General features: G+C 36.9%; 1 protein-coding gene across 3 annotated transcripts in view; it reads left to right on the forward strand.

Annotated features, from left to right (window-relative positions):
* The window catches only part of IL1RAPL1 (interleukin 1 receptor accessory protein like 1), a 1369273-nt gene extending 1352911 nt beyond the window's left edge, over positions 1-16362 (forward strand). For all 3 annotated transcript variants that reach the window (NM_014271.4, XM_017029240.2, XM_017029241.2), the window contains 3 exons: positions 1295-1438; positions 14166-14336; positions 14746-16362. In NM_014271.4, the coding sequence (NP_055086.1) occupies positions 1295-1438; positions 14166-14336; positions 14746-15464 (1034 nt within the window). In that variant the 3' untranslated portion in view covers positions 15465-16362. The remainder of the gene's footprint in view (positions 1-1294; positions 1439-14165; positions 14337-14745) is intronic.

The raw sequence follows: 16864 nt of genomic DNA on the forward strand, positions 1-16864 counted from the left end.
ACCAGCAAAACCGTGGATCATTTTAAAGTTCTCAGTCTAAGCTTACATTGACTGTGTTATGAAATTAGATAACTTACTGGTGGATTCTGAATTACAGAATCAAGAATAACATTATTTTACAGCTTTAATTTCAGAAATGTTTATATTTAATTGTAGTTAAGGAAACTAGTACTTTTCAAGGTAGTTGTCAACTGCAGGGAACAATGGCTACCCATCAGTAACAACATTTGGGCTGTGATGATTACCGACAACGCTTAAAGTGAGTTTCAAAAATCTATGCATGATGGCTTACTATTTAAATACCAATATCCTTATTTTTGTTACAATGTCCATGGTTCTAAAGAAGGAAAAAATAACAAAAAATTTTATCTCCAAGTTTTCCTGATAAGTTTTGATCTAAGGTAGATATTCAGTAGAAAAAGGAGAATTTGTATACAGTGAGTGTCAAGAAAATTCCTTTTTTGGATAGAACGTAGTAACATGCCTGGTAAAAGGGGAAGCAAAAATCTTAAAAAGTAAACGGTTGAATGAAAATAAAACACCACCAACATATTCATATACTGTCCCATCCACTAGGAGGCCTACTTCTTACACCCAAAAAGCATTCAGCCTCCAAGATTATGGTAGACCACCTTGGTATCACTGTATTCAGGAAGATACAGCAGAGGAGCTATTGCTCCTGGCAGGAGTCAGCAGACAGCATTCATTAGATAGTCTTCCCAACATTCTATGCAACAATCCACAGTGCTCTCCTGAAACTGTGTTGTTTGACCTCTCACCTTTCTTTGGCCCCCAACCCACAGGTGACAGCTCAAGTGAGAGGGATCAAGATTCTCATTGGGAGAGGCCAAAAGTCATCCTGGCTTAAAAGCTTCATATCCACAGGAATCAGTATTTATTTTATCAACCCCATAAGCATAGCTTCCGGGATCTCCACAAGTGATACATTTATATAAGAGAGTTATGGTACTCTGTTAAACCCAATATTATAGTTTCCAATCAGATATTTACAATTCTCTTAATCCAAATGCAAGCTACCAACCAAGGTTCATTTTTACCACAAGCAATGTTGCTTAGCAACATGGTTGTCACATACCACCTTATCTAGTTACCAAGGAAACAGAGCTAGAAAGTTATCAAAAGGTCAAATTCTCATGCAAAAAGGAAAGGGGTTGTGTCAACCCGTTAACCCACATCTGATCTCATCCAGGAAAATGTGAAATCAAACTGAGTTTAATTTATGATTTTGGATGTGAATACCATATAATTCCCCATTGTGGTTTTTTCTTTCTAGAGCTAATGTACACAGTGGAACTTGCTGGAGGCCTTGGTGCTATACTCTTGCTGCTTGTATGTTTGGTGACCATCTACAAGTGTTACAAGATAGAAATCATGCTCTTCTACAGGAATCATTTTGGAGCTGAAGAGCTCGATGGAGGTAGGATGTTACCTCTTTTATTGTTCTTTCTGAATGTTCTAATTTCTTTCTTGTCTTTGTTTTATTAAGGGGAAAAAAATTACGTGCATAATCAATGGCAGCAGCTCGTATATTCTTTCAGTGCTCAGTTTGTAAATTTCTCTTTTGTAAGGAAATGTGTGATGCTTTATAGCCAATACTGTAGGTATTTTCCTCTGAAAGTTGTAAAGCAACACCTATCCATTTTAGAATTGTATTCCAAACACTTACAAATTACAAACACTGATTGCAATGCCATCAGAGTGTTCCTTTTCTCTCACCTTGTAATCAGGACTGAAAGGCCAGTTTTACTTTTTTTTAGGTAAGGAGTGTCTCTTTTAATTGTGTTTTCTAGCCCAGTAGTTTGAAGCGAATCTCAATTTGCTCCTGTTTAGACTGATCCGTTATAATAAACTGTACTGAGTATTTTAAATTCATCCAGCAGTCTTTTCAATCTTGTTTATTTAGCTATATTTAGATAGCCTAATTTTTATTCCAAGTGTGGACCAACAGAAAAATGCACAAGCACATTAATTTCATAGTAATGCATCTCATATTTTTACTGTACGTAGACAAATAAATATTGTTTTGTGGAAATCATAATTAGTATTTGCTTCTGGTCACCAATGAATATGTGTACAATCTAAGAGGAAAATGGAGTCCTTAAAATTCAGCTCCCTAAACTGCACATTAGACTTATGTTTTTAAAAAATAACAAAAAGGAAAATAAACTAAGATAAACCAGCAAGATGGGAAGCATATGCAAACTGACAATGAATAGTACAGATGACAAAGCTTTCTTCATCATTTTTTTTTTTTTTAGTGAGGTGGAGTTTCACTCTTGTTGCCCAAGCTGGAGTGCAATGGCGCGATCTCAGCTCACTGCAACCTCCGCCTCCCGGGTTCAAGCGATCCTCCTGCTTCAACCTCCCGAGTAGCTGGGATTACAGGCGCCCGTCATCACACCCAGCTAATTTTTTGTATTTTTAATAGAGACAGGGTTTCACCATGTTGGTCAGGCTGGTCTTGAACCCCTGACCTCAGGTGATCCCCCCATCTCGGCCTCCCAAAGTGCTGGGATTACAGGCACGAGCTACTGCACCCGGTCTCATCATATTTATATACTGTTTTTTTTTCAGTGATTTTCAGTTTTGCAGTAAATGGTACCAAGGAAAATGAGGCAATTGCCTATGTTGCCACGTTTCCAGGGTCCTCTGGAATAATAAATCCACAAGCAAAACTAGTTTTGCAGGTTTGTAAAGAGAAGTGGTTTATTCAGAATGCCTAACACTCCTCTTGGTTTACCCTTCTCTCCTTCCCATTAGGGTGAAGCCTGAGCTGCAGCAAAACCCTTTCTTTTTCTTAAGTTTTTAATTGCTGATTTGCCTATTTGTTTCTAACTTTCTTGCCTATTGATGCAAATTATTATTATTACTATTGCTGCTGTTTTAAAGAAATATAAGGACTTTGCCATTGTCGGAACTACTGTTGAATGAGCACCAAGCATAGTGCTAGGCATTCTTAGAGTCATTCTTGCTAACCCTCACAAACATCCTGAGGTCAATATTGTAATCTCCATTTTACTGATAAGGCAACTGAGACTTTCAGAGGTTAAATAACTTACTCAAGAAGATAACACAAATACTGTAAGTGTCCAAGATGGGATTTGAAAATAAGTCTATTCCCAAAGCCTTTATCTTATCGGATACTCTCTATTATTTGTATTTTTTTTAAATTTAGTATGTTCAGTATCATCTAAAGATCTACTGTTGTTTGCACAATTAGCACAGTACATGGTATTTGAAAAAGCACATTACCTAAACAAGTCTCCCCTTTTCTATTAACCCTGTTTTGAATATGTTTATTTTGTGTTCTGAATGAGATGAATCATTTTACCAAACTATCAATTTCTAGGGCAGTAATCTGTCATTTTCTGAATGTAGAAAATTCTGGAATATAATGAAAATGAATTAATCATACGCAGTGGAACTTTCAGTGATTCGAAGTTTCGTTTAGTGGGTCCTGCTAATTGTAAACACTTCAGTGACTGACTTGGGTAGCCTTACCATATTTCATTGCTGTTCTGAAGCTGCTGGGTTCTCAGTTTTTTAAAAAATGTTTTAAGTAAGAAAACAAAGCAGACAGACACTAACAAACAGTATTCTAACAGATGAGAAGGTTCTCTTGGAAAGCAATTTAGTTAATAAATCCTTTAGCGATTCTTAGAACTCTGTCTCTGAGGCCATCTTAAGCACAATCGAGGGTCTAACTATTAGGGCTTTTCTTGAAATGCCACTGAAAATGAATTAGACCCAAAGAAAACCAAGATAACAAACTTAACTGTCATCTGGAATATGTTAATGTACAAGTTATTCCCCTAAAAAGCGGGGGGCAGGGGGAAGCAAAGACTGTCAAGGCAGTGATTGTTCAAATGGTTTTATGGGAAGAAATTATTACTAGAACCGCAATCACATGTTCAGCCTCCCTATATTAAAGCAGACCCGTTCCTGCTGAAATGGTGGTCAGGGCCCCACTCTTAACTCGTATCTCCCGCTGCATCACACCTAACCTCTAGAACTTCCAGACACTGTTTTATCAGAACCATACAGCAGTACTAATAATTATATAGCAAGTTTAAAATCTATATCTTAACAAAAGTTAGAAGTGTATAATTGCAACTTTCTTTAATTCTCTAGTGCTCTAAAACCATTCAGCTTGGCTCTCAAGTTCCCATTTCTACTGAGAAAAAACTCATAACCTTGCTTCTCCAAGATTACTCCGTCACTTCTGGTTTGGAATTCAGCTTCTTGTGGGTTAACACTCAGTTGAAAATTGGAATATTCCATTTCCCTTCTTCTCTTTTACTCTTGTTTAAACCTGTTTCCAGGGAACTCATATGTAGCTTTCTGGTAAAGGAAAAAGTCACCTGGTGCATATGCCATCCCTTCCTCACTTGAGATACTACCACCTGGTCTTTGGACATGTTGAGCACTGACTTCTGAAGGCGTAGATCCTTGTCATGGCCTCCAGTCACAAGTTTCACACACTTGCCCAGATGTTTCTCCCTTGGGAATTTCAGACATTCTTACCTGTGTTTCTAGTCCCATAAACTCGGCTACACGCATACCCACCTTCCCATTAAAAAAAAAAAAGTAATCATCTTCTTCATCCTTTGCCTCTTTCATATACGGTTTCCACATTGAGTGCAGGATTTCTCTATGAAGTTTACAGTTTCCCAAGATTTTCCCTGGGAAACTTGACACAAATCCTCGCCCTTCTCAGATTCTGCCTCAAACCATATGAAGTTCTGTTATCCTCTTCTCCTCTCTGTGGCCCTGAGGGCCCCCTTCTCAGAAACCCATGCAGGCTGTAAACCTTAGTCACAGCCCCTTAGAGCCTCCTATACATGCTTTTATGGTCAAAGAATGGTCTACTCTTCCAATAGTGAAAAACTTCTCTGACATCATCAAATCCCCATGCTTCCTAGCTCTGCAAGCTTTTTCCTCTTCCAAAGAAGAGATGGCTATTCAACAAAACCCAAGGCTTTGTAAATTCTTGTCTTTTAAAAAATGTAATTTAGAGTCAAACCTGAGTATTGCCTTCTTTATTCATGGCTATCATATTTACCTTCCCTGAAGGGGTAATTTATAAAATACTTTTGAAAGTAAGATAAGGCAAAAAGTGTGAAAAATAACCAGGGAAAAATGTTTAATAATATCCTACTATAGCAATATGATAATAATAGATTCAATGGCCATTTATTGAATAACAAGTGATGTGTTGACTACTTTATCAATAATCAGAGAATCACACAATTAGAAAGACAGAATTTAAGCTCCGGTCTAAATGGCTCTAAATTCCAAGATATACAGCCATTTTATCAGACTTGCAGATGGAGTTTCTGGCATCAGGGACACATTCACTCAGTTCCTTTGGAGTCATTACAAAAGGCATTACCTGGCTATATCAGTTCTTTATCAGAAGGATTATGATTGATATAGAAGGATTCTAATATTTTTTAAAGATAGAACATATTGATGCTTTTCTCTCTCAGTTCGTTCACATCACTCCTTGTTCCCCTCTATATAACCTTACATTTTATTATCTCCCCTGCATTCAGTCCTTAGCATTTCCAATTCCACAACACTCCCCGCCCATACTCATTCTTTGTCATCCTCCATTTTACACCTCAGTTCCTGGTATCACCTTCTATCTCATTGGCCACACTTTCCCCTCATATGCCATTTCTAATTAGTCATCAATATCAGTCAATTGCACCTCTCAAAAATAGATATTTTCCTTACCCTTAATTGCAACTGCTTTGTCCAAGCCTCCTACACCACCCTCTTGTTTTCATTCTCTACTTCTCTATCTTATCCTTCACATTCTAACAGAATTATCTAAGTACAAATTTACTGTTCCATTTTTTAAAATGCCTCCATTTTGCCTGCTAGAACAGTCTAGACTTAGCTCAGAAAGCAATTGCCATCAAAGGGTGACCCACCTTACTTTTGTAGCATTGCCACCCCCATGGGATCTCAACATGCAGAGTTCTAGTTAGAATAAGATGTTAGTCTTTGTAATAACACAGCTATTGAGAATGAACCTAAGACAATGTAATCTTGCATAATTCTCTGAGGTTTTTGGGGAAAATGAAGTAACCACAATGGTTAAGGGGAGGAGAAGATACGCTATCCCCCTACCACTTTGATTCCACAATAAAAGGAAAGAAAGTTTGGATAAATTCTGCCAGAAAAATATTTATTAGCAGACAGCCTTATCACTCAACTTATAAATCAGAAGAAGTTCCAATTCTGTTGTATATGTGTGTGTTTGTGTGCATGTATGAATCTGCATGTGTGCATGCTTTTCAGAAACCTTGCAAGAAATTTTCTCCCAAGGCAAATGTGGCAATACTCCAGTGGTAGGATTGAACTCACCTTCTGTTGACATCCAAGAATAATTTTCATCAAGACCATTTTGGAATTAAGCCTAGAAGATCTTCTCCAAGGGGGCAGACCACTGGCCCTGCTAGATTTTTGTAAGGGTGGGAATGTGTTTCTAAATTGTGTTAAGTAATTCATATGTCTTGATTAACACTGATTTTACCATGGAAATACCATTTCCAAGACCCATTGTACACAGTAAAAAGCCACTATCTTTAGCAATGAAACTTGATTTCTAATATCCATTGTGTTAATTGATGAAGCATCTACTTTTGATCAGAAATATAGTTTAAGTGCTTGTAGTGACCGCCTCTGGAGTGTTGCCTCATTTTAGTTAAATGCTTGCTGACCATCCTAATAAGGGCAAGCTACTGTCTTTAGAGTAGAACTTATACTAACAAAGTACCACCACCATTTATGCTGGAAAGATTTTAAAAAACAATACAGACATCACAACAGTGTTAGACTCCTTTGCTCCTCCATGTCTCTGAATGGAGTGTCCCTTCAAGTTTTGTTTAAAGTTATAATCCTACTTTATATATTTTTTTCAGAGTGTAAAATGGTTTTTGTTGTTGTTTTCAGCTTTTTTTCCTTCTCTGACTATGAAGTATGTGGGGCATGCTTACTCATAATGACGCCAGGGCAAGCTTATAAGAACACTGTAATCACTAACACGAATCCTATTTTAAAGATGAAGAAAGAGATCTCCTAGTCCTACGTTGGGAGTTATTACAGGCATTGAACAAAATTAGTTAGAGCAATTTTTTATAATCTCCACCTCCATCTCAGAAAATGTGAACATCTGTTCCATTTCAGGCATATTAAGCACATTGGCATCTATGAAATCTTAGGCCATAGAATTTCTTTTTCTTTCTCTTTCAATGACAAGGTCACTCACTATTCATAGTTTCAGGAATTATTGTCCTCATGTCCATCAGTGAAACATAGTACCTCTGCAAATCATTTAAAAACCTTATAGGGATTTTTTTTGGTGTTTTTTTTTTTTTTTGGTGGGGGGGTGGGTGGTGGTGGTAGTTAGACCATTTACATACACAGGAATAATCTTTAGAAGCTAGAACAAGTTTTTGGATCCCAGAAGGAGAGATGTAGAGTTGTTCTGGGTATATGACTTGCCTCAAATCATTAACTGTTAAATGGTAGGAACCGAGGCTTCTTATCCCAAATCTTGTGCTCCCTTTGCTATTCTGCTACTTTTTAATCCCCTTAAGACTTCTGAATCTATGTTGCCTGCTGCCCTCTTAGGGATACAAGAGAAGGAAATAAATATCTATAGAATGACTCCTTTGGACCAGGCATTTTGCTATATGATGGGGTCTCATTTAATTTTAGACATCTTCAGGAAGGTGCTATTTTATAGATCAGGAAATATAGTCCCAAATGAGTTATATAAAAAGTTATGGCAATCAAGATTTGAGCTAAGCTTCTGGGTGTTTTTTTCACTACTTTATACCACAGATATTTTAACTAGTATCAAATTTAAGTGTTTGAGAACTTATAGATTCAAATAATCCAGAAAAGTACCAAATGGCACAACATGTGAATTAGAACAGTACTGTAAATACTTCAAACTGTACAAGTCAAGCAAATTTATTTTACAACAATTGCCAGAGGTTGTCATAGCAGAATTGAAAAGCAAAATTTATTAAGACAATGACATTCAATAATCATAAAATCAAACCATTAAGGTTTTATATATCTAATGTTTATTCATTCAAAGATATATGATCTCTGAAGATAATTTTATTTGAAAAATCATATCTTGAAAACTTGAGAAAGCATATGATGGCAAATCTGAGACATAAGAAGAAATGTGACTTACTTTTTGAAAACTATAATTTATTCAAATTTTATCAATGCAAATTTTTAATTATCACAGTTTTCTGTGATGATATGCCACACTTAAACATACAAAATCAACTTTTAGGATTAAAAAAAGATGAACTATACAATTTATCTTTGAACCCTCCTCCAGTTTCATTTTAGGAATCCATTTACTGAATGACAGCCTCTGCCACTAGTCAATTTCACTTATGTGATTCATATATACTTGAGAACAAAAAAAAAAAGAAAAAAAAAAAAGGAATGGCCAGCTGCCAAAAACATTTGACAACTATTCAGTAAGTGTTTAGAGGTTAAAAACTCCCCCAAACCGGATGTCATACTTAAAACATTTCTACTGTCAGTAAATCTTTTTTCTAGCCAAATCCAATACAGCCACTACCTTCAACTTGAAAAGTGAGTCTTCAACCTACATTTTCTTAAAAGCTGTGTTATTCTAAAATAATCCCGCAGATTCCTTGCTTCCTCAGTCATTTTAAAGAACATTGAGGGTATTATCCTCTCATATGTTAAAGAGAAAGGTGCATTTATCTATAACCTTTCCAAACCCTCTTTTCATTCCTGAACATAATGCCATTTTTTCCTTCTTCATCAAGAGTTCTTAATATTTTAAATTCATATTTTTTATTTGTTAACGCCACAGAGTCCAAACTTCCTTCTTTCCTCTCAAAAATGTTTTTATAAAACATCAAAGCTTTTAGTTAATTCAATTTAAGAAGAAATATCTGCTGGACTTGTTGATTGACTTCAAGTAACCAAACAACTAGTTGAATGATTGGATCTTGTTTTTTGTTTGTTTGGTGGAGCATATCTGCCGGGGTCTTTTGAAAGTCATAAGAAAGAGTAACTTAATGACTACATTGCAGATTATAAAGAATTACTACAAAGAGTGTGTATACCAGCTGTTTTTCATCTCTGCTGTGAACAGAATTATAGTTGATGCTTAAATTGCAGAGGATTTTGAGAATAAAGCTCAGAATAAGAAATAGACTCTTGTACCAACCTATAACTACTTTTAAGCTGTTTATAAATGAAAGTTGAATTTAAATTATCCTAGCCCTATCCTTTAAAAATATTAGCATAATTTTGTTTTTCATGGTTATAAAGATGTCAGCTTTTCAAAGTTTCACCAGTCACATGAAGTTCATACACATTAAACTATGTCAATTTATGTTCTTTCTTATATCAAAACAATCTAAGATGTACTATCCAAGATGCATATACAGTTGGTAATTGAAAAAGGGAAGACACCTTAGAATCCATATGATTTTGAGTCAAAAAACATTGCTGAATTTAGTATGGCATCTGGCACTCTGCTTCCGGTCTGACAACTTTTCAAATCATGGGTTTGCTTCTGATGGTAAATAAATGCCTAACCCATTACTGCACTGATGCAGACTCTGGAGAAAGAGAGAAATTAGATATCACTCAAGTGTCCCATTGGTTTGAGGATGGTGCTGCAGATGCTTGAAAGAGGCTTTCTACCAGTATAATCTACTTGGAAACAACTCCATTATAACTGGGAGATACTAACTTAAGTACTATAAATACATCCAGATGACATAAGGAGATAGAAAACTAACTGATGTCATAGCACCAATTCCTAAATTTCATTTAAGATTAATATGGTTATTTCATATATTAGTCTAGGCAAAAATTTATCCCCTTTTTGATAAAAACATGAATTCTTAGCTATTTTATTGGGAGTATATCTCCTCTAAGTATTAGGACGATCTATCATGGAGCCGAGGGGGCAAGGTTTAGTTTTTATGATGTTGTGGTCAAATACCTGGCAGATAACTGCAGTTGTTTGGTGTCATTGAGACCTCTGCATGCCTATATCCTGTTCTAGAACAGAGTTTATTGAAGTGTGGTCCCTCAATCAGCAGCAGCATCTCTTGAGAGTTTGCTATAAATATAAATTCTAGGAACCTACTCTTCACCTACTGAATGAGAAACTCTAGAGGTGGGGCTCAGCCCTCCAAATGATGGTCATTCATGCTCAAGTCTGAAAACCACTTTCCTAGAGGCATTTACACAGATCCTAAGGCCTTTTTTTTTTTTTTCTTTTTTTTTGAGACAGAGTCTCGCTCTGTCACCCAGGCTGGAGTGCAGTGGTGCAGTCTCGGCTCACTGCAAGCTCCGCCTCCCGGGTTCACGCCATTCTCCTGCCTCAGCCTCCCGAGTAGCTGGGACTACAGGCGCCCGCAACCACGCCTGGCTAAATTTTTTTGTATTTTTAGTAGAGACGAGGTTTCACCGTGTTAGCCAGGATGGTCTCGATCTCCTGACCTTGTGATCTGCCTGCCTCGGCCTCCCAAAGTCCTGGGATTACAGGCGTGAGCCACCACACCTGGCCAACCCTAATGTCTTTTCATGAATCACAGTAAGAAGCTACAGTTCAAGAGTATTCCAAAGGAGCCTTGCTAAACTCTGAACCACAGCTCCTAGTAATTCCTTGAGAAGTCAGAGCAGCATGGAGTCTACATCTCCAAAGCAGTCTCTCCTGAGAAATGATCCGAGTCTTGAGAAAAATCTCAAAATTAGCTATCGGGTGTGAGTCATGTGATACCAAAATGAAAGGCCATTCGTTCATTTCATCAACTGATAAACTTGAGCATCTACTAAGCCCCAGTCACATACCTGAGCTAAGGATCTCATAGTCTAAGAGAGAAGATAAGATATAAGCAAAATCATATAATACATGGGAAAAATCATCACTTCCAACTGAGGGAAATCAGGCTAACCTTCAAGGAAAACAAGCTAAAAATGCAGCTGCTGATTATTTAGACAATAAGTAGCCACAGATATTTTTTAAGCCACCATAACACATGATCAGTGGTAAGGTCTGGGAAGGTAAATTTGGTGACTCTCTTCTCCAGAAGGAGAAGGAAATGGAAAGGGAAGACCACTCAAATATAATTATAACAGCTGAGATATGAGTAGGGCCTAACCTAGAATGGAAATAGAATCCAATAGATTTGTACCAATGAATGGCGATGAGATTATTAGTAAAGATAAGGGATAGGTGGAACGCGCATCTGAAGTTTTGACATTAAAGAAATGAGATTTTTATGTTACTAAAATTAAAATGAAATAAAAGATGAAGAACACAGCTTGAGATGGGAAGCTTGTTACGTTGTGAGCATGTGAAGTGTGAGGTGCATGATGAAGATGCAAATTAAAGTGTTCAGGTTACAGGTAGGAGTGGGGGACTGTCATAATTCAGGAGAAATAGAACAGGATCATGCATCCAAATTGAGGAGGCATCTACACAGAAGTGATGTTATGGAAGTTGATGTTATGGAAGGAAAGGATATTTTTAAGGGAAAGTGGGCTGAAAGAAAAATGAAGTGGACCGCAGAAAACATCTTGCAGAAAGACGGTATTTATGGGTTGGAAGAGAGGTTTCCATGAAAGAAGCAGGGGAATCAGAGACATAATGTTATATAAGCAAAGGCGATATTTATCTGAAATTTACCAGTATGGGTGGACCAGTTGTTTACATCTCGTCTGATTTCTGAATGCTCCGTTCTTACTGGTGTTCATATGTTGATATGGCTTTAAAATAATCTTAAGCCTAGAGAAGATATGAGGCAATGAATGAGGATCTAATTATTACACAACCCCAGTTGAGGGGAGTTTCAACACTTTGCACTACTTTGTGGCAAACTGGAAAAGAACAGATTACCAGAAAGAAAATAGCATATGCCCAAAATAATACTACAATCCACAATCTGGCCTGAGGAGTCCTTCCATTATTAGCCTGTGACTCCTGAACTACCCTTAGTAATACATTTATCTCTTAGGAATGTACTATTTATTTGTCTGCATCTCCTGCTAGGCTAGAAACTAATGACCAATATTGTAAAGAAAGTTTAATATCTCATAGGTAATGCATGTGAATAGTTAATGAATATTTTAATTAATTATTAACCGATATTATGTACTGACTTTATTGTGTGCTTTCATGATTTCTTACTCAACTAAAGTGTTTACATCAATGAGTGGTACAATTATAGATTGTACTGGCCTATGGGCATATAGCTTTTCTATAGCAAATATAATAATTATTTTTGGAGAAAACTAGATTTTGTTTTTTAAAATGTACAACTATATGCTGGCTAAAGAATAAAGGAAATGCCAAAATATGACACATTTGGTATGATTGTTTTTCTTAAACTTTTTTGCCCTAAAAGCTGCTGTTTAAAAAACTCTTCTATAGCTGAAGTTTTTATTCCAAGTATCCTATAGTGAAGTTGTTAGTGCCTTATATACCTGTGTTAACTTTACATGTAGCAAACACTTTTCTGAGTTTGCCCTGAAAAGTTATAATCATAGAATGATTTCTAGATGGCTCAAAATTATCAGACTACTAGAATTAACACACATGTATATATCTCAGGAAGTGAATTTTAGTGTCCTTGAAGTCAAAAGGATTGTCCCAAAGCCACCCAGAACAATGGTGAAGAATGTCCCTCTATCGTTGATGTTTCATAGCCCAAATATTTTAAGTTCTATGCTTAATGCAGAGTTCATTTTATTCTGAAATTTATGAGTGTTTCAATTTAACTTGATCTAATCATCAAGTAATACACTGCCTATCATCAGGGAAGTGCAATAGAGAGCTAAAGACATTGATATTGGTAGACTCAGCATATCAACAGTATTTAAAATTTAAGTGAACTATGAATCTTGATATCTTAGTCGAAAAAGGAAATTGACCAAAGAAAGACTATCCGGAAGATAAATGATTTCTTATTCTTAGAAACAACAAGTGAGAAATCTGAGATGGTATATTAGAAAAATTAAGATAAAGATAACAAATGATTGATAGTAGTCCTCAAATATTTAAAATTTTCTCATGTAAAAAGGGGGAAGAGTAAGGAGAGAAATGAGATTTTAGAACTAAGTTTCTTTTACTTACATTCTACTTCTTGATTCTTATGAACAAACTGATTAGCATGATGAAAAATAACTTGGCAATATTTTATGTGTAAGATGAGTGGAGACCAGAAAAATAATGTCTTTCTATAATCATTCATTTTAATAATATTCTCCATCCCAATATGCAAGAACTGACTCCTAGTAAAAAATTAATTCTCACAAGTTTGGTTTTATTTTCTCCCCAACAGAAAATCAACACAGCACACATAATCTAAAAAATCATTCATTCACAATTAAGTCAGTTGCCGTTTTCTCTCTCTTTTTTCAACTGGGTAAAATGGCCAAGGGTAGAATCAGTTGAACGTAAGAGCATACTGATATCCAAACATATGGCTTTTACAAGCAGTCAAGATTCTCTGTGATCTGTGCATCAAAAATGGTGAAATTCTGCTGGGTGCGGTGGCTCACGCCTGTAATCCCAGCACTTTGGGAGGCTGAGGAGGGTGGATCGCCTGAGGTCAGGAGCTCAAGACCAGCCTGGCCAACATGGTGAAACCCCATCTCTACTAAAAATACAAAAATTAGCTGGGTGTGGTGACGTGCACCTATAATCCCAGCTACTCGGGAGGTTGAGGCAGGAGAATGGCTTGAGCCTGGGAGGTGGAGGTTGCAGTGAGCCAAGATCACGCCACTGCACTCCAGCCTGGACAACTGAGCAAGACTGTGTCCCAAAAAAAAAAAAAAAAAAAAAAAAAAAAGGAAGTCTGCATTTCATTACTCTTTTCATTGATTTTTCTCCTACTTTTTTCACAACAACAAATCAAAATTCAACCCTTTGTACCTCCAAACTAGTTTTAGAATCATTGAACTCAATGAAACTTAATGAAGGCTTCATTTTTCGGTCTTTCAGAAATGGGACATTTGGAGACGTTTATGAAAAAAAGTGCATGTTTTCATGTCCTATTGTTATCTTTGTAGAGTAGTGACTTCGACTTTTCTTTGGAATTTTTTGACAGACAATAAAGATTATGATGCATACTTATCATACACCAAAGTGGATCCTGACCAGTGGAATCAAGAGACTGGGGAAGAAGAACGTTTTGCCCTTGAAATCCTACCTGATATGCTTGAAAAGCATTATGGATATAAGTTGTTTATACCAGATAGAGATTTAATCCCAACTGGAAGTAAGTTAATGTTTTCATTTGAGAGTGTGCATATTCATGTGAGTGTCTGTGTAGTCATCACTTTTTCATGGAATTTTAATGTTTGGTTCTTTACTTCAAAATTTGTATCTGTTAGTTTCCCTAGAAAGAAACGTCTTTGTGTGTTCACATGAAATTTAATTTTTGCTAGCTCAGAGAAAAGATACTCCATTACTGTATAAAGCATCTCATTTTGTGAGCCTTGACATTGAAAGAAACCAAATGAGAGATTTGTACCGGGAAAAAAAAATATTGCTGACATTAGGAGAAGCAAGTCCCAAACTCTATTCAGTGAACTAGTTTCATTTAATTTCTGAAAGAGAATCTACTAGGACTTTCTGGACCAAATTTTCCATTCACTCATTTTGATGCACTCTTTTATCTTTTGTAGCATACATTGAAGATGTGGCAAGATGTGTAGATCAAAGCAAGCGGCTGATTATTGTCATGACCCCAAATTACGTAGTTAGAAGGGGCTGGAGCATCTTTGAGCTGGAAACCAGACTTCGAAATATGCTTGTGACTGGAGAAATTAAAGTGATTCTAATTGAATGCAGTGAACTGAGAGGAATTATGAACTACCAGGAGGTGGAGGCCCTGAAGCACACCATCAAGCTCCTGACGGTCATTAAATGGCATGGACCAAAATGCAACAAGTTGAACTCCAAGTTCTGGAAACGTTTACAGTATGAAATGCCTTTTAAGAGGATAGAACCCATTACACATGAGCAGGCTTTAGATGTCAGTGAGCAAGGGCCTTTTGGGGAGCTGCAGACTGTCTCGGCCATTTCCATGGCCGCGGCCACCTCCACAGCTCTAGCCACTGCCCATCCAGATCTCCGTTCTACCTTTCACAACACGTACCATTCACAAATGCGTCAGAAACACTACTACCGAAGCTATGAGTACGACGTACCTCCTACCGGCACCCTGCCTCTTACCTCCATAGGCAATCAGCATACCTACTGTAACATCCCTATGACACTCATCAACGGGCAGCGGCCACAGACAAAATCGAGCAGGGAGCAGAATCCAGATGAGGCCCACACAAACAGTGCCATCCTGCCGCTGTTGCCAAGGGAGACCAGTATATCCAGTGTGATATGGTGACAGAAAAGCAAGGGACATCCCGTCCCTGGGAGGTTGAGTGGAATCTGCAGTCCAGTGCCTGGAACTAAATCCTCGACTGCTGCTGTTAAAAAACATGCATTAGAATCTCTAGAACACGAGGAAAAACAGGGTCTTGTACATATGTTTTTTGGAATTTCTTTGTAGCATCAGTGTCCTCCTGTTTTACCATGTCTTTTACCATTACATTTTTTGACTTTGTTTTATATGTCGTTGGAATTTGTAAATTTACATTTTTTTTAAAGAAGAGACTGATGTGTAGATAGAAAACCCTTTTTTTGCTTCATTAGTTTAGTTTTAGAATGGGTTTTTATTTTATTTCCTTTTTTAAAATTTTACTTTGCTTTTAACATTTCCTTGGGGTGCTTGGACAAATCTATCCGATGGGACAAGGAGCACCGGATTCTTTCTCGGGTTCTGCCTAGCATCAACTGGGCCACGTCGGCCTTCAGAGAACAGTGCAACAAATGCCAGCATTGCCATTCGGGGGAAAAAAAAAAAAAAAAAAAAAAGATGAGAAGAACACTTGTTCATAGGAGGGCCCCACCAGTCAGAGCCCTGAATCTCTTCCTTGTCCCACCTCATTCCCCACCTCTACCTTTCTAATGGCGGCATGATGTGTAAACTCTGTGCAGGGGTGGGGGCGGGTCTAACTGTCTTAACATTCAAGTCACTGCTCTTCAGAATACACTCTAGACCCAAAGGTGTGCTAATCACTTCACAGTGACCACTACAGAGTACTAAGAAGAGAAGATCAAGGGCATGAAATTGGGGAAGAGTGTTATTTCCGTTTTTTAAATGAGTTGATGTACCCTTATATATATATACATATATATATAAATATAAATATATATAAAAACAACAAAACAAAACAAAAAAAGAAAAAAAAACAAAAAACAAAAACAAAAAAAAAAAAAAATCAAGCCCTATATTTGATCACTTCCTGGAAAGGCATGAATGTGTTTGTGGCTGTTTTTGTTTAATCTTCTACTTCCTCTTTTCCCTCTATAATTTCTCTGCAAATGAGATTCTGTGCAAATGCCAGGCAAGTTAATTCAAAAGAGTGAATCAACGCAAGTCAAAATGAAATTTACACTGAAGGCTTCCAAACCAAAGGGAAGGACAGGATGTGTCATCAAATATGTTTTGTCACCTTGTATTATACAAAATGTTATTTTCTAAAGAGTCAGAGAAAATCTGTGAAACTTATTGTGCGGCCCCCTTGTAATTAAATGTTAACTCCCTTGTATTTAATTTTCAACACTACATTAAGAATTAAGTGGTTTCAGTTTGTGGACATAAGCAACACTTATTAATATCAAGGTGTTTAAGAACTCAGGAGGTCAAACATATGAATACCAACAGAGATCAGTATTTTCAAA

This window comes from Homo sapiens, chromosome X, assembly GCF_000001405.40.
Source record: "Homo sapiens chromosome X, GRCh38.p14 Primary Assembly".
NCBI classification, from domain to species: Eukaryota; Metazoa; Chordata; class Mammalia; order Primates; family Hominidae; genus Homo; species Homo sapiens.